Raw genomic sequence first — 22497 nt, forward strand, 5'->3', positions numbered from 1 at the left:
ATCAGCATAGGGGGAATAAGAAAAGTAAGAGAAATTGAGATTAAAAAAAAAAAACAAAACGGAGGAGAATGTAACGTTGGCCATTGTAATTCATACCAAACTGACTTTCCTTTAGTGCAAACTAGTAGGCGTGGCAATGACTTCAAACCTCCCAAGTTAGGGAGCCCTGAAATCTTTCTACTTACTGATATCTCTGAATAATAACCAGGGCCCATACACGGGGCTGGGATTTGATAGTCGAGGCCTTCAGTCCTAACCATTTTGCCCTGTAACTTAGATCAGGACCTATACATTTATTTGTCCATGGCTACACCCATAGACATATATTCTAACGCAGGGGCCATGAACCAAATCCCATGTACTGCCCATTTTTGTACAGCCTTCTACCTAAGAATGAGTCTTCCAGATGAATGATTCGATGATAGGGAACATTACCTTTGAACCCCAGTTAAGCAAAATGCTGTTCCCCCCAAAAGATTTCCGTTCTTCTCACAAGTAGAACTATATTACTATAGAAGTCTACTATAAAATATAGTAGAACTATATTACTATAAAATCTACCCAGTTTTATTTTGAATTTCACCAGTAAAAAAATTTGTGGAAATTTGTGTTCTCACTTGCTATACCAGCGCATATATAACATCTTCCCATTTGTCTCTCAGCCCGCAAAGTCTGCAGTATTTACTATCTGGCCCTTTCAGTCAGAAGTTTGCTGAGTGCTGCTCTAAGCTGTCACAAATAGAGATGATTTTGAAGGGAAAAAAAGATATTCTCACTATCATTCTTTGTCTTTGCCTGAATCTCTGTTTTAGCTTTTTGTTGTTGTTGTTTGTTTGCTTGTTTGTTTTTAGAGGCAGAGTCTCGCTGTGTCACCTAAACTGAAGTGCAGTGGTGTGATCATAGCTCACTGCAGACTCAAACTCCTGGGCTCAAGCCATCCTCCCGCCTCAGCCTCCTGAGCAGTTAGGACCACAGGCGGGCACCATTGCACCCAGCTAATTTTTAAATTTTTTTGTAGAGATGAGATCTTTGCTATATTACCCAGGCTGGTCTTGAACTCCTGGACTCAAGTAATCCTCCCACCTCAGCCTCCCAAAGTGCTGGGATTATAGGTGTGAGCCACCACACCCAGCATTTTTTTTTTTTTAAGAGTGAAGTTTCTCTGGTTAATGTGAATGTGAGTTAATAGGCTCTGGCTTGTGCAGTGCAGTGCCCTGAGAAAACTGATATTAATTGTACAGTTGTGAAATGTGGTATAATATTGTCAATAGCAGCTTGTTTAAAAAATTTAGATTGCAAAATAAAATAAACCTGTGTTTCCATATATAAAACAGGCAGCAATAATAGTACCTACTTCAAAGGACTGTCCAAAGGATTAAGTGAGATAATGTAAATAAGGGATTTAATAAATGTTAAAGAGAAAAAAATCTACCATTGAGAATATGTTTGTTTGCACAAGACTTGGTACCTTTATCTTAGCATACTGTATCTTAGACAGATACAGTATCCCTAATACACTGTAGATACCTAAATCATGCTTCTCATCGATTTCAGTTAATACAAAATATAGTCCTATATCTCTTTTCAACACAATTCTGATTTTAAAGGAAGGGTCTTCTTAAAGGAAGACCATTGTTTGTTTGAAACAGAATTACTATATCCTATACGTTTCTTTTCTTTTTTTTTTTTTTTTTTTTTTTTGAGCTGGAATCTCGCTCTGTCATCCAGGCTGGAGTGCAGTAGCGCAATCTTGGCTCACTGCAACCTCTGCCTCCCGAGTTCAAGCGATTCTCCTGCCTCAGCCTCCTAAGCAGTTGGGATTACAGGCACCCGCCACCACGCCCAGCTAATTTTTGTATTTTTAGTAGAGATGGGGTTTCACCATGTTGGCCAGGGTGGTCTCAAACTCCTGGGTGATGTGGCCGCCTCAGCCTCCCAAAGTGTGGGGATTACAGTATGAGCCACCGCACCCGGCCATCCTATATATTTCTAAGATAAAATTTTAAAGTATAAGTAAATCTCATTGGAGAGCAAAAGATGAGGTTTTTTTTTTGGTTCAGAAAATTTTAGGATAATGGAGGTCAGTGTTTTGCTAACCATCTGTAACAAACTGCAGCATTGGAAAGGGACACTGTCTTGGTATTTTGAAGAGCTAATATTTATGCCTGGGAATCCTCTACCTGCATGAAATCGGCAGGTAAGAGTTAGAAATATGCATGACATTTTCAAGGAAAAAAAAAATCTGTGGTGCCACTTGAGGAGATGAAATCTATGGTCCTGCCTGTTTTCCTCACTCTGTGGCTCCCAGAATGCATCTTTGACTCTGGAGTTTGTCCTTCTCCCTCCACGGCCAGATTTCACTGTCACTCCTCTGAGAACCCTCTCCACTGCCCTCTTATGCTGAATGAGCCCCTCCCCACCAGGCTTCAGGCCATTGGTTTCTACCAGTGTTCACATTTTTTGTCTGTTGCCTTCGCTGGACCTCAACTTCCCCCAAGGCTGAATTTTGTCCTCATTTTCATATTGCCAGACCCTGGCTTAGGTGCCCAGTATCTATTTGTTGAATCAATGAAATACTGACTAAAAATTGTCTAACACTAAAATAAAATGAAAGCCAAAAAAAACCCTTTAGATTTTTCTTTCTTTTTTAGATATAGACAATATACATAGATAATCATAACATTATTTTAGTGCTGATTAAAAATTCACAGATAAGCCCAAATTTATATATAGCTTGTCTGAGGGTTAAGTTCTGAAGAATATGGGGGGCATCAGAGAGTTGATACAAATCCATCTTTATTTTCTGCAGGGCCAGCTCCTTAGCCCAGCAGCAGCTCCCCGGTCCCCCTGTAAGTGTGTTTCCTAGATGTGGCAAAATGCCTGCCATGGTGTTCCAGGCCCAAGTGTCTAGCTCATGGAGGTCAGAGGGGAAGGGGCAAGTGTCTTCTCAGCCACAGTCGCTGTTATCAATTGGGCTTCCTGTGCACGAGGTGCTTCGTCAAGGGTTTTACATGTATCTTTTCATTGACTTCTCACAACAATCCTATTATTATATCCAACTCCTAATATGAATCTGGGATTTAAAGAGGTTAAGTAACATGCTTAGGGTGTCACCAACTCCAGGTGTGCTGGGTTCCAAAGCCCATGCTCTTCACTGTTAGGCTTTCCTTACCTCTCACCTCCTTTCCAGGGAAGTGGCAAGATTTTTGGAGCTGGCGAGTCTGGGGACTCATGACTGGTTGTTTCTCCTTGAAGCATAGACTAGAGGAGTCATGTGCGCAAGAGTGTTGTTAATCACTATGCTTTCCCCTCCTGAGCTCAAGAAAAACAGAACTGTCAAGAGTTAGGAATTGCGTCCTGGTCACCAGGTTCCTTGTTTGTCCCATGACCCAGAGTGGAGTCATCCCAACAGAGATGTGCTAGGCTGTAAGCTGAATGTGATAAGGGAGGCAAACTGCACCACAGTGAAGTCCTCCAACTTTTAGAAGAGGCTAGCTACTGTGCGCGTCAATTTTTTCTAACCTTTTTTTTTGGTGGCTTATATGCAATTACATACGAGTTACATTTATTGAGTACCACATGCAGGAAGTCCCAGGCAATGAGAAATGAGCTTCATGGTAATTGAGAATGAAGTTAAGGAAGAAAATTTTATTGTTAATCAAGGGCTTAATTGCCTCCGGGACATTTTAAATAAATGCCATGCAGTACTTAAGGAGCAATGTTCTGTAAGTGAGATGCAAAAATTCTTTAATTAAACCATGGTGGGTATTCCCTGATTGAAATATCTGCCTTTATCTTAATATTTAAACCTTCGTGATTCATGTAACAACTTAATTAGGGATGGAGTAAATTAAAGGCTCCTTGAAAGAACCAATCAGTTGTATAAAATTGGTTAAAAGTATTTCTGGGATAGGCTTCTGTGTATTTGTACTGATCAGAACATATCTTTGGTTCATTTTATGTTTAGCTGTCATCTCGAGTAAGCTGTATTTCAGCCTGTAGGGGACAGATGGTGGCTATGGCATTGTATAGGGCAGACAGTTATTAGAATTTGTCTGAGAAATGGATCAAATGTAAGGGTTTCTTGGCCACTGAGAAAGGAGACATTTCCCCAGATGATGACTTGGATGGTACCTGCAATTAACCAGGTAGGAGGCTGCCAAGTCTGTTCGTTGGTCAGTCAGTCAACACACCTGAGTGCAGCCACGGAAAAGGCCTTGTGCTCAATGGTGATAAGCTTGTGTCAGTGTCAAACTAAACAGACCCAGAGATTCAAGGGGACTTGCCAGCCTCTGATTGTACATGGTAAAAAACAAAATGGAAACCCCGAAAACTTAGGTATTCAAATGTTTAGACTTTACTAGATCACTCAGTTTATGAGTGGCAGAGATGCCTGGTGTGGAGCTCGATAAATTCTTGTGAAAAGAAGGAAGGAAATGAGAATGGGGGCAGTTGCCTGGGAGGAGGGAGGGGGACAAGGCTTGCATCTGTCACTGTACTGCACAGCGTTCCCTGACTAGTTGGACACTCAGCTGTGACTCTCGTGCTGTTAACAGACATTGTCATGAGGATTCAAAAAGTGCAGGGAATACACATCAGTGGCTCTTTAAAAATTCAGGGTTGGTGTGTTTTGCCAAGCTAACATTGTGATTTCATTTAATCCTTAAAAAGAGTAAAATTGTTCTCAGAAGATACCAAAATCTTAAAACATAGGATCATGTCTGTTTTTAAAAATTTATTTAGCTCAAATAAGCAGCCAATAACAAGATGAAATAGTCATCTAATAATGGTGTTTTATAAATGGTTTTATTTGGAAATTTTTTTCTCCTAATTTCAGTGTTCGTAATATGAAACAGTCAAGCCCTTTAAAAGGGATTGCATTTTCAAATAAACACACTTAGACACACCGTGTGAACTTAGTACTTGAGGAAAGGAAATGAGGGGAGGAAAGGAAAATATTTTAAGTCATATTTTCATGAAGGACTCTGTGGTATTCAACACGTGTTGGCAGACTCTGGCCAGGCTCAAAAATGATGGGTCGCGTTCTGCCTACTGTTTTAGGACCACACTGGCCAGGGTGTCCCCCAAGGTGCCTTTCTGCCTCTGGAATCCCTGTTACGGGCCCACGGAAAGCCTGTGGATGCCCACCAGCTGCTGAGGGGTCCCTGTGATGGTTTAGATCTGAAATCATACTCAGTTCTTTGGCCATGTTCTGGAAGGCTAGAATTGTTATGTCACTGTGAGTATGGAAATCCCTTTAGTATTCTACATGATAATTCAGAGCAATTAATTCCATTCTAATTTCCATGCCCTAGAAGAACTGTACTTGTGGCCGGGCATGGTGGCTCACGCCGGTAATCCCAGCACTTTAGGAGGCCGAGGTGGGTGGATCACCTGAGGTCGGGAGTTCCAAGACCAGCCTAACCAACATGGTGAAACTCCATCTCTATTAAAAATACAAAATTAGCTGAGCATGGTGGTGCATACCTGTAATCCTAGCTACTTGGGAGGCTGAGGCAGAATTGCTTGAACCCGGGAGGCGGAGGTTGCAGTGAGTCAAGATCGTACCATTGCACTCCGGCCTGGGCAAGAAAAGCGAAACTCCATCTTGAGGAAAAAAAAACAAAAAAACAAAAAAACTGTATTTGTAAAAACCTGAACAAAGACTATCATATCTGCACAAAGTCTGTGAAGAAAGGAAAATGAGCCATGTGTACTCCAGAGCAACTAGCTGCTTCCCAGTGGCCATAAATATGTCTTGTTTCTCAACCATTTCCAAATGCTTCAAACTTAAAGAAATTTGTACGTGCCCAGGAACGCTCTATCTTCGCCTTCTCTGGCATTAGTTCTATGATTCTTTAATGTTGTGGGAGATATTTATGAAATCATTTCCTCTGACTTTAGTGACTCTGCCTTTGAGAGCTCAATGGTAAATACACAATCAGCATGTGTGCTAAGAGGCTCGAAAGTCTCATGACAAATGCTGTCCTGTACCTTGCAGGGCAATGATGTCTGTAAGCATCTTTCCTTAAGCACCCACTCACTCGCTGGCTTGGATACAGTGAGTCTCAAGACATCTTAAGAAAATTGCCATCTGAGCATCACGCTGCAGGATCTGGTGTTAGATATTTTTGTGGCTACGTGGGTTCTTACTCATTTCCCCTCTCCGTCTGTCTTGTATTTTCTATGTGCCGGTCTTGCCTTAGTTCATATGCATTCAGGAGAAGGTATCATTAGCGACTTGACGCCCATATTATGACTTAACGAGCTGGAAAGTCCACACGTATAGATTCTGCATCTCTCAAACTGAGATTTTTGATTCGTAGACAGGTCGCCCGTAGACTCTTCCCAGAGGCTTTGGCTGCTTGGGACACAGATTGTAATCACAGTAATTAGCACTGAATTTTCAAGTCCTGCTCTCCAGCTTGACCTGGCAGCATTTAACGGCGTGCACACAGCTGGATCAATGGCAGGAATTGAAGGACCCAGTTGTGGGGCTGCTCCTGGCAGCCTGTGATGGGCACCGTCCCTGGAGAATTCCAGGAAAGCATCAGGGACAAGGGATGGTGCAGGGACCTGGGTGCGAAAGTAAAGAAATATGATATTTATAAAGCACCTGTCGATGGGAATCCTGTTCAAAATTGTTACTGGAGACAAATTGAAGTACAGACTTCTGCCTGAAATTCATTATCAATGAATTCATTTTTCTCCTTCTTGCTTAGTTCAGTTTTGGGTATTTCTAAAATGTTCTTTGTTAAAGTTTACACTTCCTTTCCCTAAAAGAAGTACTTACAGATAGGAATCTTAAAGCTAGTGGGAAAGAACTGTAGGACACAAAACAGATACTTCAGTGGCACAAATGGGGCAAAGAAGCACCCATGCCTGTTATGAAGTAAATTCTCTAGGAAGTTTGGTGGTGTTGGGGAGTCAGGGACTTAAGCTCAGATAAGCCAGAAGGCACTCCTCTGTCACCCACTTCTTCATAGTCCCAGGGAGTGTGTCACCTTACCAGGCCACTAGAAGGAGAGAGTGACAAGAACATGGCAGTTTGGCACGGCAGACCCCAACCTTCATCCATCGAGGGCTTGTGATTTTGTGGGGATACTTGAAGGCTGACTGCTGAATAAAAGGTTTAAACTTACAGGAAATACCTCTCAACACAAAACCATTTGAGCATATGTATCTTTTTTTTGGGGGGTGGGGGTCGGGGGACGGAGTCCCACTCCGCCGCCCAGACAAGAGTGCAGTGGCATGATCTCAGCTCACTGCACTCTAGTCCGCGTTCAAGTATTTGTAGTAGAGACGGGGTTTTGCCATGTTGCCCAGGCTGGTCTTGAACTCCTGACCTCAGGTGATCCACCTGCCTTGGCCTCCCAAAGTGCTGGGATTATAGGCATGAGCCACCGTGCCCAGCCAAGCATATGTAGTGTCTCTAACCATATGATCAATCTAGTTGAAAAAGCATGGTAGGCAGAGTTTTACAATGAGAGCTTTTTTTTAATGTTTAGTTTCCTTAGGGACAGAAACATTATTGTTCCATTCTACCATTCTGCATCAGTAGTTCGTATGAGGTTGTACTTTTGCCTTTGTCACTTGTCAGCATTTGCACTGACTTAAGTTGTTAGAATATTTATGTGGAAAATGAGGGCAATTCTGTGTGTAAATATCTCACTTGACAATCATTTTATGATTTGAATGTTCACTTGCAATGAGACCCTGACATGTTCACACGTGCTAGTTTTCAGCTGCAATTACATTTGCCACTAATTTGTACCTTGGAACGTGTTTACTGAAGCCGCTATGGAGCACTCGGTTCCGGGAGCCCTTTCACTCATCAACTGCTTCTAGGTCGCACCTTGCACTGGGAGAAACCTGGTGTCTTTCTGGAAAATTCCTTACCATTCAACAGCTTACCCAGTCATGCATTTAGCACTTTTTCCTGAAATTCTTTCATAAATAAGCAGGAAGCCTTCTTTGCTATTTTTATTATAAAAGGGGAAATGAGGATAAAAGTTACACATGTTGTTATTTTAACATCTAGTCTTGTATTTGTTGAAGAGTTACGCTTTTACTTAAAAACAAAACCAGAGACTTATGCCTGTTGCCAGCCTCTGTCAATGATGGCTCTTCATTCTTTTAAAGTTCACAGCAGAAAACACTGTGTTAAGCTCTTCTTGGCTTTAAAAGCCAAATTAGACACCCAAAAGTCTCAGCACTTTAAAATCCTTTAAAAGATGATTTAAGTAAATCACTTTAGAAATCTATGCCCAAACTTTTAAAAAGTACTTTTCACATCTTGCCTTTACAAGTAACTGTGGAATTAGACACACCATAAATGTACTCTGTATTTTCTTAATAAGTTTGAATTTTCGGAAAGCCTTTATTTTTATATTATAGAGCCAACACGGCTGTTGGATGTTGAAGAGACCCAGCCAATATTATTACACATTTCTTTCTTAAGTGCAGAACTTGGATTGGGACAGGGACTGTTTGGTTTGGAAAACATCATCTGTTTTCCTTCTCCTCCTCCTTTCCTTCTGTGTTTATTTCATTTGGTGGCTGCAAGTTGCAGGTTTTTTTCCACTTCACACTTTTGCTAGCCCTCTTCTTTTCTTCTGCTTTACAATTTGCACTAGAAGAGGGTAGCGGGCTTTTTGTTTGGGTTCGGGTTTTTTTCTTTTTCTTTTTCTTTTTTTTTTTTCTTTGCATCTTCCTTCCTTTCCACAGAGAGATTGCTGCTGACCAAATTTAAAACACTACAGTGTTTAGGATCCCTGCAGGGCCATTTTAAGTATTTGGAGCCATAAAGGGCCCCAAGCCATAACTACCTGAATTGCTTTTAATTACACAATATAGCTGCATCATTTTACTTCAGATTCTTTTTGATTGATGCTGCAGGGCAATTGTAACCGCGAATGATGGGATTAAGTGCCTCTTGAAGTGACTTTAGCTTCTTGTGGGAACAAAGGGAAAGAGGAGAACACTTAGTCCCTTTTTTGCCTGAGCTGCCTTTTTCTTCACTTGCGTATAAAGAAATACAATTAACAAACATTATCCCCAGAGGTAAATTGAAATGTACATGCAGACAAGAACCGCTCTTGACTGCAATTAGACATATATGATCTAAGGTATTCTGGCCATTCATTAGTGCTAATTGTTTGAGAAACAAGCCCAGAACAAATGATTAAAATGTAGGCGCCATAACTGGGATTATTAGCATGTGTGATAAAATGCACACTCTGTGGCTGTACTGAGGAAACGCTTTGGAAAGCAGCTGTGATTTGAAGAATGGTTGGTTCGGCTCTGTGGTGAGCTCTCTTGGTGTTTGCTCAAGACCTGGTGGTGTTTATAACAAACAACTTACATCTTTCTTTCTTAATTAGTGGGAATCACAATGGTATTTTGTAATTTAATTGTAATTACAAAATTGTAATAAATTGTAATAAATTGTAATTACAATATTGGTATTTTGTAATTTAAAATCCTATCGCTTTCCTGCGCCTTTGGGTTGCTCCTGCAGTCTAGCGGTATTGCGGGGACTCGGGATAACCTGAATTCTTAGATTTTGCTTCTACACTCCACTTTCTTTTTTTTTCTCTTCTTTCTTTTTTTTTTTTTTTTTTTTTTTTGAGACGGAGTTTCGCTCTGTCACCCAGGCTGGAATGCGGTGGCGCGATATCAGCTCACTGCAAGCTCCGCCTCCCGGGTTCACAGCATTCTCCTGCCTCAGCCTCCCGAGTAGCTGGGACTACAGGCGCCCGCCACCACGCCCGGTTAATTTTTTGTATTTTTAGTAGAGACGGGGTTTCACCGTGTTAGTCAGGATAGTCTCGATCTCCTGACCTCGTGATCCACCTGCCTCGCCCTCCCAAAGTGCTGGGATTACAGGCGTGAGCCACCGCGCCCAGCTACACTCCACTTTCTTTAAAATGTTGGAGGCCAGGGAGAACCACTTGAAAGTTTGCTCCCTTATTTGACTTTTGAATAGTTACTCATCACACCTACACTGTAGTGTGAGGGAAAAGTTCTGAGATATCCTCTGGCATTTGGAACTTCTCTTACCATACAGAGACCTGGCAGGGGTGACCTAGTCAGACGTAAACCATCTGGGAGCTGGCTGGTCCATCTGAGCGGCCAGCAGTCTGCAGGGTTCTTATGACTGAAGGGACTGGTTTTGGGATGTGCCACCCCAGACCTAAAATCGCTAAGCCCTCTAGGACCTGTACAAGTGGAGAACGCCTAATCCAAGTTAAGTGACCAAAGGAGTAAGCACCAATTCAGAGAGATAGATGGCGATTAAATTTCCTATGGAAATGCATTTAGGAGCTGGGACCTAGCACTCAGTGAGAGAGATGGGAGGTACCCAGGGCAAGGGAAAGAGAAGATATGAGATGAAAGAGGAACAAAGGAGCAATAGAGGGCTCAATGGGGAGTGTGCTGAGCAGGCAGAAGCTGCATCCCAGGTAGTAGGTCTGTCTGCTACTGGGTGCTTCAGGGCTCCCTATTTGGAGCTCAGTGTTTCTCTGTCCTCCACCTGCATTGCTGCATCTGGAGTCACAGGCAGGACCATTTGGAGATTGTCCATTTGGTGCCATGAAAACCTGCAACAACCTTTCAATCTCAAGTGAGACCACTTGAGATTGTCACCCAACATACTTCCCCAGCCACCTATCCCTTAGCATGTCATTAGCACATTCCAAGGGAAGACAAATATCAGCGTTAGCTAGAGAGGATATAAGATTAAATTTGCTTTTAAAGTCAGCTACCAAATTCAAAAGACAAGCACAAAAGATTTTCTGGTTCTCTCCATCTCTAACTGACCTATTCTGTCTTTCTTGCCATTGTTACAGAAAATGGAATTAAGTCACAAATAAACCATAACATAGATTATTATAGACATACAGCTCTTAATTTTCAGTTTTATTCTTTTTGTATTTACAAGAAAAGTGTTACTCTCTGAATTTGACCAGTTAGTTCCACTGGAAACTAAGTAACTGTGTATATTCCATAAGAGTGGGTTTGGCAGGGAGCTGAAAATAAAGGGGAAAGAAACTGTTTTGCACTTTAAACTGGGGCATTGCTGTGTGGTACTGAATTAAGAAAAAAAAATATTAAGCTCCCTTAAAATTAGAGGAAGTTCTAGGAAGTCTTACCTTAAATAGATATTTAAAGGAATTAGTGCTTATAGCACATTAAACATACTTCAAAAACAAAACCCAACTATGTTAGAAAAGCCTTCACGATCACATCCATATGTTTAGTTTTAATTTGCATCACACTTAGCTCTGAATAATTAAGAAGGAAAAAACAATCTTAATCTTATCATGGGTCCTATACAATCAAAGCCACATACACGTGATTCGTGATCACAGCTTGTATTCACAGCTTTCGTGTGTGTGGTATGGGTCTGGCAATTAGACTCAGACTGTGTTTTTTTCTAAAAATTATTCAGTGCTAGAGAGTGATCAATATTAAACTCTCCCAAAAATGTACAAATCAGAATAATCAAGGGACTGTGGCTAAATAGAAAAAAAAAAAGTCAAAATTCTAAGCTATGTAACATTTTGGCCTCATTTCATTGAGATTGACACTTGAAAGGAATTTTTGAGAGAATCTAGGATGAAAACGGAGATTTCATTAACCCAGGTCATTTTCATGACAGTTACCAAAAAAAAAAATTTTTTTCAGATGTGGGAAGAACTATTTTCTCAAAATTGCAGAGCCATTTTCTAGAAGAAAAAAAAAATGCTCTTCCATGATTACTTTCATATCAAAGTACCCAGTCTTGGGGGAGATGCATTAATTTGACACGTTTAGCAGCCTTTGAGCTTTTGAAAAACTCTGTAAAAGAATCCATGGTTACATCTGTCAGGTTGACAGTCTTTCGTGACCTTTAAAAAAAAGTTAAGGAGAAACTGATCTTTTTAGTTCACATTTGCTCAGTTACCTCTAACTGAACAAGCTAGGAAATAGTCATTTCAGCTTTAAATACTATTTTTTTTTTTTTTTTTTTACATAGAATCACCAGTACTAATGGAATCTCTAAATGGAAGAGTTTAGTGGATATTTCTGGTGGTCTCATGGTAATGATATGTCCTGTGCTCTTCACTGGCTATTTCAATACATTAGCTACTAAATATTGTCTTTTCTGCACCTGTTTTTAGAATCAGATCTCCTTAGGAAGATCAACAGTGGGCATTCTAACTAGGGGCCTCTGCTTTGAATGTTCCTCATTGGCCAGTAAGGGAACAAGTTTCTTCTTTGTTCCTTACACACAGAGTTCCAGGATCCAAAATTATTAATGATCTCTACAGAGGCAAAGAGAACTCAGGCTGGCGTGTCCTTTCTGTTTTAATTACAATTTACCAAATCCTCCCATGTCATGCACTTGACAGGTGCTATACCTCATAGTTCCCAATGCTGGGATTACACTTGGAAATCCATCTATCAAATCTCTTTGGGTAGAGTCCTGAGCAGTCATTCTTGGACCAAGTTCTCAGCGACATTAACAGTTAACTATTAATGAACAACATCCTTTGACTCCTTTGTGTTTCCAGGAGCCCCTGCTAGAAGCAGCCCAGAAACAGAAGAGATGCTAATCGCATTGTGTGCCTGAACGTGTTCAGTGAAGGAGCGCAGGTTTCCCTCTTGACCTCGGAGTCACGGCAGGAAAAAAAATCCCTCCAGTTTTCCGTCAGATAAAACCTCTGCTCCTCCTTCTCTCACCAAAAGTAGAGCCAGAAAGTGGGATTAAGGCAAATACCCACTAACAGGCACATGCGCCATTGTCATTCCCTCTTCCACACAAAACAAGGAGCTTTGCAGAAAAACAAAAAGCTCCTCTCCTCTCCCCCCCGCCCCACCCCCATGCTCCCTTTCTTTTCCTCCTCCCCTCCTCCTTCGTTCCTACCCTCCCACTTTCTTATCCACCCCGGCTTTCCCTCAGCTGCCCCCCTTCTCCTTTTTCTGGTTTTCTCTCTCACCTGCTCTCAAATGCCCTCTCCCCCGCCTTCCTCTTCCTCCTTGCCTCCTGCCGCTCTGATTTAGGCCAACTCTTTCCTCATCCTCATCCTCCTTTCAGAAAAGCGTCAGTGTTTACCCTCAAAGGAGCTACCGGGTGCCCATGTGCTGTGAGGTGGAGCCACTCCGGGAGCTGCCACGGCCACATTTATAGAAAGATGAACCCACACGGGAGACAAACGGGGCTCTCTCTGTTTTCATGGAAAAACTGCCCTTTTATTTGGGATTCATGAATGGTCACCACAGTGGTATGGGTCTTCCTGTTCCTGGGACTTCGCTGACATAAGCCATGCACCTGCCTGGACAACTAGGGCTGTGTGGCCTCACAAGGCAGATTCAGTGAGTGACAACAAAGTGCTAACAGACAGTAGCTTCTGGTCCGTGTTTGTACAGCCTACCTTAGGAGGCCTTCCTTAGCGAGGGCCAGCGTGTGGTGGACTCAATATTTGTTGAATGTGTGTTTTATCCTGAATCTGATCAATACGTTTTTGTTTATGAAATGATAGCATGGATGTGATAAGGCCAATAGATGGGGTAATTTTATTTTTTTAATTGTGGTAAAATATACATAACATAAAATGTTAACCATTTTCAAGCATGCAGTGCAGTGGCGTTAAATAGTACATTATGATTATTGTGCGACCATCCCCACCACCCATCTCCAGAATTTTTCATCTTCCCGAACTGAAACTATACCCATTAGACAAAAACTCCAATTCTCTGCTGGCCGCAGTGGCTCATGCCTGTAATCCCAGCACTTTGGGAGGCCCAGGTGGGCACTTGAGGTCAGAAGTTCGAGACCAGCGTGGCCAACATGGCAAAACCCCAACTCTACTAAAAATACAAAAATTAGCCAGGCATGGTGGTGAGTGCCTGTATTCCCAGCTACTTGGGAGGCTGAGGTGGGAGAATCTCTTGAACCTGAGAGGCAGAGGTTGCAGTGAGCCAAGATTGTGCCACTGCACTGCAGCCTGGGTGACAGAGCAAGACTCTGTCTCAAAAACAAAAACTCCAATTCTCCCCTGGCAACTATCACTCTAGTTTTGTGTTTTTTTTTTTTTTTTTTTTTTTTTTTTGAGATGGAGTCTCACTCTGTCGCCCAGGTTGGAGTGCTGTGGCACGATCTCGGCTCACTGCAACCTCCGCCTCCCCGGTTCAAGCGATTCTCCTGCCTCAGCCTCCTGAGTAGCTGGGATTACAGGCACCTGCCACTACACCCAGCTAACTTTTTGTATTTTTAGTAGAGATGGGGTTTCACCATGTTGGCCAAGCTGATCTCGAACTCCTGACCTCATGATTCACCCGGCTTGGCCTCTCAAAGTGCTGGAATTACAGGCATGAGCCACCGCGCACGGCCTCTAGTTTCTATCTGTATGAATTTGATGACTGTAGGCACCTCATGGAAGTGAGAATCGTAGAATGTCTGTCCTATTGTGTCTGGCTTATTTCATTCAGCATAATGAAGAACTTTAATTTTTGACATGGATGCTTGTTTGCTCTCTCATTCTGTGTGAAAAAAGACTTCCAGGCAGGTCGCCTGTAATCCCAACACTTTGGGAGGCCAAGGTGTGCGGATCACCTGAGGTCAGGAGTTCGAGACCAGCCTGGACCACATGGTGAAACCCCACCTCTACTAAAAATACAAAAATTAGCCAGTGTGGTGTCTGGTGCACCTGTAGTCCCAGCTACTTGAGAGGCTAAGGTATGAGAATTACTTGAACCCTGGAAGTGGAGGTTGCACTGAGCCAAGATCACACCACTGCACTGCAGCCTGGGCGACAAAGCGAGACTCTGTCTCAAAAAAAAAAAAAGAAAAGAAAAGAAAAAAGACTTCCGTCATTGGGACACTTGTAGGAACGTCCCTCGCCCCTGGTGTCCCGATGGTCTGAGGAGGCAGTACGCTGCAGTGAGACAGTATAACGCAAACTTTACTAAACCGGACAAGAATAAGGATTCTGCTTTTTTCTTGACTCTTGCCAAGCCTGTCCTTTATCTGATGTCCAACCCTTTTCATGGGTTTCCATGACAAATAGAGTGGCCAGGGTAGACCAGGAGGGCCGTTCCTTCCCGGTGCCCCTGCTTTGTACCAGGAACCCCACAATAGCCAGAAGGCTGGCCTAGGAGTTGCCCCCATCCTGTACCCTGAGTCCTTCCTTAGAAGCAAAGCCATGGTGGACCACAAACTGGCTTCCCTTGTGTATCTGCTTTGGGCACAAAAGACCATGTCTTCATTTCAGCACAAAACAGTGCACTTCATTGAGGTGTGATATAATTGCTTCAGGAGAGAGTTTGCTCTGAAAATGTCTTCTCGGCCTTCCTGAAGCAGGCTGCACGCTTATTTATATTGGCACCACATGCTAATCTCACGAATGGCCCTGTTCCGCCAGTGGGAGGACAAATAGCTGTTCTTTTGCTCCCGTGTCCATGGAAAGCTCCCCTTTCTCCTTGCATGGTTGCCATAGTAACCAAAAAAAAATAGTTCTTCAAAATAGGGAAGGAATCTCTCAGGGTACTTGGGAACTTAGCAAAGTGAGAACATAAGTAGGCCTCAATTATCATAGATGCTGGTGTAAATACCTAGTTATTAATAGTCAAAGCGGGTTGAAATTGGTAGGTGAATTTTGCTGTCACTTAAGAGAGTAGGGAAAGATGGGTGAATAGGCTCTTACCTTCACTCAGTACTACAGATTCTTCTGTAACCATTGGAATTGCCAGACGAGGTCAGACCCACAGGCCATACAACACAGAATTTAGTTTTTGTTGGCACAGAACAGAGAAAGAGGCAGTGACAGAGCACAGTTATGCTCCTGCGACCCCCTCAGCCCCCTCAAAGGATTGGAGATACAGCGCTAAGTAGAGGAATCCATTACGAATCTGTCATACTGCTGTGGATATGTGCACACTTTTCTGTAAGAAATTTTTATTTTCAACCTTTATCAGCCCTTAGAGTCAAAATCTCTTTAAAGGAGCTAAAGGGCCACAGCATTTTTGTGTGGTATTCTACATAGAAATTTACTGATGGCCAGGCGCGGTGGCTCATGCCTGTAATCCCAACCTTTAGACAGGTGGATCACACAAGGTCAGGGGTTCGAGACCAGCCTGGCCAACATGGTGAAACCCCGTCTCTACCAAAAATTAAAAAATTAGCCAGGCATGGTAGCAGGCACCTGTAATCCCAGCTACTCGGGAGGCTGAGGCAGAAGAATCGCTGGAACCTGGGAGGCGGAGGTTGTGGTGAGCCGAGATCGTGCCACTGCACTCCAGCCTGGGTGAAAGAAGGAGACTCTGCCTCAAAAAAAAAAAAAAGAAAGAAATTTATTGATGTATTATTTTTAAATAATGCCCTCTTTTTTTAAAAAAAAAATCTTATGTTTAAGAACATATAAGAACTTACTTAAATTTATTAGAAATTGTGGAGACAATTTCCAAAGGATATATAAAAGATATATCTTTTTTTCTGGTTGTAAAACAGCTCTTCAGTGGTTACTGGACACGGGTACAGCTTAAAAATTTTAAAAATATTTGAATGGAAATGTACGATGATATAGCCACTGTGGAAAGAAATATGGCAATTCCTCAAACAATTGAACATAGAATTACCAGATGATCCAGCAGTCCCACTTCTGGGTATGGAATTGAAGCACGGACTCCAACACGTATTTGTACAGCCATGTTCGTAGCAGCACTATTCACATTAGCAAAGAGGTGGCAGCATCCCCAGTGTCCATTGACAGATTTATGGATATCAGGATGTGGCATATCCATACGATGGAATATTATTCAGCCTTAAAAAGGAAGAACATTCTGACATACGCTATAACATGGTTGAAGCTTGAAGTTTTTTTGTTTTTTTTTTTTAGATGGAGTCTCACTCTGTCACCCAGGCTGGAGTGTAATGGTGTGATCCCGGCGCACTGCAATCTCTGCCTCTCGGGTTCAAGTGATTCTCCTGCCTCAGCCTCCCAAAAAGCTGGGATTACAGGTGTCTGCCACCATACCTGGCTAATGTTTGCATTTTTAGTAGAGACGGAGTTTTGCCATGTTGACCAGGCTGATCTTGAACTCCTGACCTCAGGTGGTCCTCCTACCTCAGCCTCCCAAAGTGCTGGGATTACAGGCGTGAGCCCCTACACCTGGTGAACCTTGAAGATATTATGCTGAGTGAAATAAACCAGTCACAAAAGGACAAATACAGTGTGATTCCATCTATGTGAAGTATTTAGAGTAGTCAAATTCATAGAGATGGAAAGTCAAATGGCGGTTGCCAAGGGCCGAGGGGAGGAGGGAATGGGGAATTCATGTGTAATGGGGCCAGAGATTGAGTTTTGCAAGATGAAGAGTTCTGGAGATAGATGGTGGTGGTGATTGCACAACGGTGAGAATGTACTCAGTGTCACTGAACTGTACACTTGACAGTGGTTCAGATGGTAAATTTTGCATTATACATATTTTACCACAATACAAAAATAGTAGTGTTTCACATGGTGGGGAGTATAAAATGATAGCCTATAGATCAGCTCAAGGTAGGAAACAACGATCTTAAAATGATTCATGGATTATTGTTTTATTGCTGTTCAAATCAGGAAGTTATAAAACTTTCCCCAGGGTTCAGATCGCCAGTCCCTTTCCACAGTTACCTTTGCTCACTACACACATTCCAACTCACAACACACACAACATACAAAACCCTGGGCGTAGACAGTGCAGAGGGCCACGGATGGGAGAGCAAGCCAGGCACTCTCATATGCCGCTGGTGGGAGTGTAAATTAGCACAACTCCATTGGGAAGACAGTTTGGTGAAGCCGACGGAGAGCATTAAATAATCACACTGATAACCTTTTTAGCCCTCTGAGGACAGAGGCTAATGGAAACTTGTGGCCCTTTCTCCTTGAACATTCCCTAGCCTGCCACCCAGCCTAGCTTGGAGTCCATTCTTTCATTCATTCAGCCTGCATGTGCCAGACATGGTGCTGTGAGCTCCATGTATGGCTTTGAGCCAAGCAGACCAAGTCCCTGCCCACAGGGGGCCTGTGGCACATGGGCTGTGGAGTTGCACATGAGTGATACCAGCTGGGGCTGATTTTTGCAGAAAAGGAATTTCTGGGAGGCTGGTGGACAGGCTGGAGAATAGGAAAATGGACAGTGACCAAACTAAGCTCCTAAGAACACAGCCCAGCCCAGGCCAGGGCAGTCTGGCCAGGGTAAACCAGACTGTCTACCCTGCCCCCTCCTGCTGCTGTCCTCCTGCTGCTGTCCCTGCGCTGCTGTCTTCCCTCCTGCCATCCTGGGCACTTGCTGGGGGCACCTCTTTCCTTCACCGGCTCCCACCTTCTTTGTGTCACCCCCTCATGGCTCAAAGGCCCCACCTGCAGTATCTCATGGGCCAAGCTTATGCTTGTGGCCTCTCCCTAGCTTTCAAAGGATGTGGAGAAGGACCGTGGGGTCTCTGCCTCCACCCCCACCAAACAGGAAGGGTGTTCCTGTCTGGGACAGCCAAAAAGGAAAAATTCTCTGAACCCAGTGGAAGACAGACAGTGAACAAGTAAACAAAGCCAATAATTCATTTCAAAAGGGGAAGGCCTGTGAAGGGAAGGGCGGGGTTCTGGAGGACAGCATCCCAGGAGGGGGCATGGGGAAGGTCCTGCTGAGGACAGGGCATGTAGGCTGAGCCTTGAGGGATGAGAGGGTGGCAGACATGCTGAGATCCAGAAGAGCCTTCCAGAGAGGGAACCACTTATGGGATGGTCCCGAGGTGAGCAGGAAGATGTGGTGTGTCAGGGAACTGGCAGCAGATACCTGTAACTGAGGGTGGTAAGCAGAGGAGACGGATGGGCCAGGCAGCCAGGAGCCTGCCAATCTGGGTGAGACATTTGGTTTTTAATGTGAGAACACTGGGAAGCCATGGAAGGGGCTCAAGCAGAGGAGCATCATGATTTGATTTGTGTTTTTTAAAGTCCAGACTGGCTGTGGTGTGGAGAAGGGACTGGAGAGGGACAGAGGCCCCAGGAACCAGTCGGGAGTAAGGTGGTGGTGTCTTGGGCCAGGGTGGGAAAGATACAGTGCAGAGGTGCGTGCAAGGCACAGTTAACGCCCATGTATGTTAGCTCTCCAGTTTGTAATGTAGAGTAGGATGTAAGTCCCATCCTAAAGGCCCTGGCAGGGAGCTGGAATGCATGGAATACCTGATTGATACTGGGTTTGATTAGTACGTCTTTAAAATTTATTGATACATTTACCTACATTTATTAAAATGACTTAGAATTTATTGTGCTGTTAGAGTTATTATTTTAGTGGCAATCTCTTTTTAACTTCATTTTGAATTTAAAGAGTGATGTTATGACTTTCTAAAGCCCTGAACCAAGTTATTTTCTGCACTTAGTCAAGTCTGGACTGCTACTTATATGACTCAAAAGTATTATGACATTGGCCGGGCGCGGTGGCTCATGCCTGTAATCCCAGCACTTTGGGAGGCCGAGACGGGCGGATCACCTGAGGTCAGGAGTTCGAGACCAGCCTGGCCAACATGGTGAAACCCCATCTCTACAAAAATACAAAACTTAGCTGGGCATGATGGCAATGCCTGTAATCCCAGCTACTCAGGAGGCTGAGGCAGAAGAATCGCTTGAACCGGGGAGGCAGAGGTTGCAGTGAGCCAAGATCATGCCATTGCACTCCAGCCTGGGCGACAAGAGCGAAACTCGGTCTCAAAAAAAAAAAAAAAAAAAAAAAAAAAAGTATTAGGACTTGGCCGGGTGTGGTGGCTCATGCCTATAATCTCAGCACTTTGAGAGGCCAAAGTGGGCGGATCGTTTGAGCCCAGGAGTTCGAGACCAGCCTGGTCAACATGGAGAAACCCCATTTCTACAAAAAGTACAAAATTTAGCCGGGCATGGTAGCACGTGCCAGTAGTATCAGGTAATCACTACTTGGGAGGCTGAAGTGGGAGGGTCACCTGAGTCAGGGAGGTGGAGGTTGCTGTGAACTGTGATTGCATCACTGCACTCTAGCCTGGGCAACAGCGTGAGACCCTGTCTCAAAAAAAAAAAAAAAAAAAAAAAGAGGAGAGATGGAGTCTCACTCTGTTTCCTAGACTGGTCTTGAACTCCTGGGGTCAAGCAATCCTCTCACCTCAGTCTCCGAAATAGCTGGGACTGCAGGCACACACCACTATGCCCAGCTCTTCTAGATGATCTTTTTTTGTTGTTGTTGTTTTTTTTTTTGGAGACAAAGTCGCGTTCTGTAGCCCAGGCTGGAGTGCAGTGGCATGTTCTCAGCTCACTGCAACCTCCACCTCCTGGGTTCAAGTGATTCTCCTGCCTCAGCCTCCCAAGTAGCTGGGACTACAGGCGTGTGCCACCATGCCCAGCTTTTTTTTTTTTTTTTTGTATTATTAGTAGAGACGGGGTTTTACCGTGTTGGCCAGACTGGTCTCGAACTCCTGACCTCGTGATCCACTCGCCTCAGCCTTCCAAAGTGCTGGAATTACAGGCATGAGCCACCCCACCCAGCCTAGATGATCTCTTTTTTTTTTTTTGAGACGGAGTCTCACTCTGTTGCCCAGGCTGAAGTGCAGTGGCGCAATCTCGCCTCACTGCAAGCTCCGCCTCCCAGGTTGACGCCATTCTCCTGCTTCAAACCCCCGGGTAGCTGGGACTACAGGCACCTGCCACCACGCCCGGCTAATTGTTTGTATTTTTAGTAGAGACAGGGTTTCACCATGTTAGCCAGGATGGTCTCGCTCTCCTGACCTCGTGATCCGCCCGCCTCGGCCTCCCAGAGTGCTGGGATTACAGGCGTGAGCCACCGCGCCCGGCCCTAGATGATCTCTTTTAAGTAGATACTCATTGTTATGATTTCTGTCCTCCTCTTTTCTGGGCCACAGGGGGCCCAGGAGGAAGTGTACAAACCATGTCATGGCAGCCTTCCCTGTGGGCTCCAGTGAAGTTGCTCATGTGTCTTGGCCCTTGGTGACTGGTCTCTGATGCCGTACTAATGGTCAGTGGACCTGTGATCTGTTCTTGGGGTACAGGAAATGCATGAGGTGTGCCCAGTGGGTGTGATCATGGCCCTGCAGACAGGGCAGCTCCTGCCTCTTCTCTCCCTGTTGCTGTCTGTCACCCAACACCAGCCAGCCTGTTACCTCTGATATGGGCGCCCTCACTCCTGGACTCTGACAGCTCCCTTGCAGGCACACTGCCAAAGGGTCAGTCGAAACTTCTGGATTCTTCCATCCTCAGGGAATGGATAGCATGCCACTGTTGCCCTTCTCTGCCTGAGCAATCTATATTGCTGTGTCTGCTCTTCTCTGTGCCCCACGTTGATGCAGAGCTCCCATGAAGTCTCCCAGAGGGTGAGTGGGAAGTTGGCACACCCCCTCAGTTTGGACATTCCCATTGCCTCTCTAGTCACTGTCACTGTCCTGCATGTTCCTGGGATGGGGGAGTAGACCAGGCAGAACCTTCAGCCCTGTCTCATTACTTGGGCTCTCCCCACCGAACCGCTGTCAGCATCTGAAGGGCTTTGTCTTGCCCGTGACAAGGACTTCACTTCAAATCCCCCATTCCTTTCTCACTCTGCCTCCTAAGAATTCTATGTTCAGACCCTTAAGCTGCTGGAAATTATAAGACTTCTTCTCCACTAACAAAGGCACGTTTATTATCTCACTGTGGACTTGATACCAGAATCTAGCATGAAGCTCCTAGTTCAGCAGGGACTTCCTGGTGTTCACCCCATTCTCACCCCTGCACTTCTACAATGATGGCCATGGATTCAGTGGGTGGGGATGTGAAGCAACATGATTTTCAAACAAGGGAAACTTCTGCTCATCTCAAAATTATCATTTGATCAGTGGAAGGTTGTGTAATTGATACCTATCTCCCCTGCCTAAATGTAATAGGATTAAATTCTGGTTACTATTAATGTTCAGCAAGCCCAAGTCCTTTTTGGGATCGGTAAGACACCTTAGTTGTACTTACAACCCTTAATGCAGAGATTCTCATCTTTGGCTGTACTTTGGAGTCTTTCTGGTAGCTTTGAAGAAGTGCTGAGGCCTGGGACTCACCATAAGAGTGATTTAATTGGTTTGGAATGTGGCCTGGTGTTTTAGCCCCTAAAGCAAGCTTGTCCAACCTGTGGCCTGTGGGCTACATGTGGCCCAGGACAGCTTTGAATGTGGCCCAACACAAATTTGTAAACTTTCTTAAAACATTATGAGATTTGTTGTTGTTGTTGTTTGTTTGTTTGTTTGAGCTCATTGGCTAGTGTTAGTGTATTTTATGTGGAGCCAAGACCGCTCTTCCAGTGTTGCCCAGGGAAGCCAAAAGGTTAGACAGTCCTGGACTAAAGCTTCCCACATGATCATAATGTTCAGGCAAAGCAGAGATCCTTAAACTAGCTACCAGCTAAGTAAAGAAGCCATTCACTTGGGTTTAGAAGTCATGTACTAAATTGTATCTTCAAATGGACATGCGCTTCTTT

The 22497-nt window shown here is 44.0% G+C and overlaps 1 protein-coding gene and 1 long non-coding RNA gene across 11 annotated transcripts in view, besides 3 other annotated features; one reads left to right on the plus strand and one right to left on the minus strand.

The window, feature by feature from the left end:
* The window catches only part of CLYBL (citramalyl-CoA lyase), a 302755-nt gene that overhangs the window by 127672 nt on the left and 152586 nt on the right, over nucleotides 1-22497 (plus strand). The window lies entirely within an intron of this gene.
* CLYBL-AS3 (CLYBL antisense RNA 3) overlaps nucleotides 6509-22497 on the minus strand; it is a 216296-nt gene continuing 200307 nt past the window's right edge. Inside the window, exon 5 of the long non-coding RNA NR_120421.1 lies at nucleotides 6509-6576. This is a non-coding gene — a long non-coding RNA (CLYBL antisense RNA 3). The remainder of the gene's footprint in view (nucleotides 6577-22497) is intronic.
* Nucleotides 12119-12705: an enhancer, noted in NCBI's record as "OCT4-NANOG-H3K27ac hESC enhancer chr13:100398734-100399320 (GRCh37/hg19 assembly coordinates)". NCBI's record gives its function as "activates a minimal SCP1, AML or CMV promoter by ChIP-STARR-seq in primed H9 embryonic stem cells {active_cell/tissue: H9 hESC(primed)}" and the evidence as "EXISTENCE:reporter gene assay evidence [ECO:0000049][PMID:30033119]".
* Nucleotides 13879-14464: an enhancer, noted in NCBI's record as "H3K27ac hESC enhancer chr13:100400494-100401079 (GRCh37/hg19 assembly coordinates)". NCBI's record gives its function as "activates a minimal SCP1, AML or CMV promoter by ChIP-STARR-seq in naive H9 embryonic stem cells {active_cell/tissue: H9 hESC(naive)}" and the evidence as "EXISTENCE:reporter gene assay evidence [ECO:0000049][PMID:30033119]".
* Nucleotides 17726-18553: an enhancer, noted in NCBI's record as "H3K27ac-H3K4me1 hESC enhancer chr13:100404341-100405168 (GRCh37/hg19 assembly coordinates)". NCBI's record gives its function as "activates a minimal SCP1, AML or CMV promoter by ChIP-STARR-seq in primed H9 embryonic stem cells {active_cell/tissue: H9 hESC(primed)}" and the evidence as "EXISTENCE:reporter gene assay evidence [ECO:0000049][PMID:30033119]".

Source organism: Homo sapiens, chromosome 13 (assembly GCF_000001405.40).
Source record: "Homo sapiens chromosome 13, GRCh38.p14 Primary Assembly".
NCBI classification, from domain to species: Eukaryota; Metazoa; Chordata; class Mammalia; order Primates; family Hominidae; genus Homo; species Homo sapiens.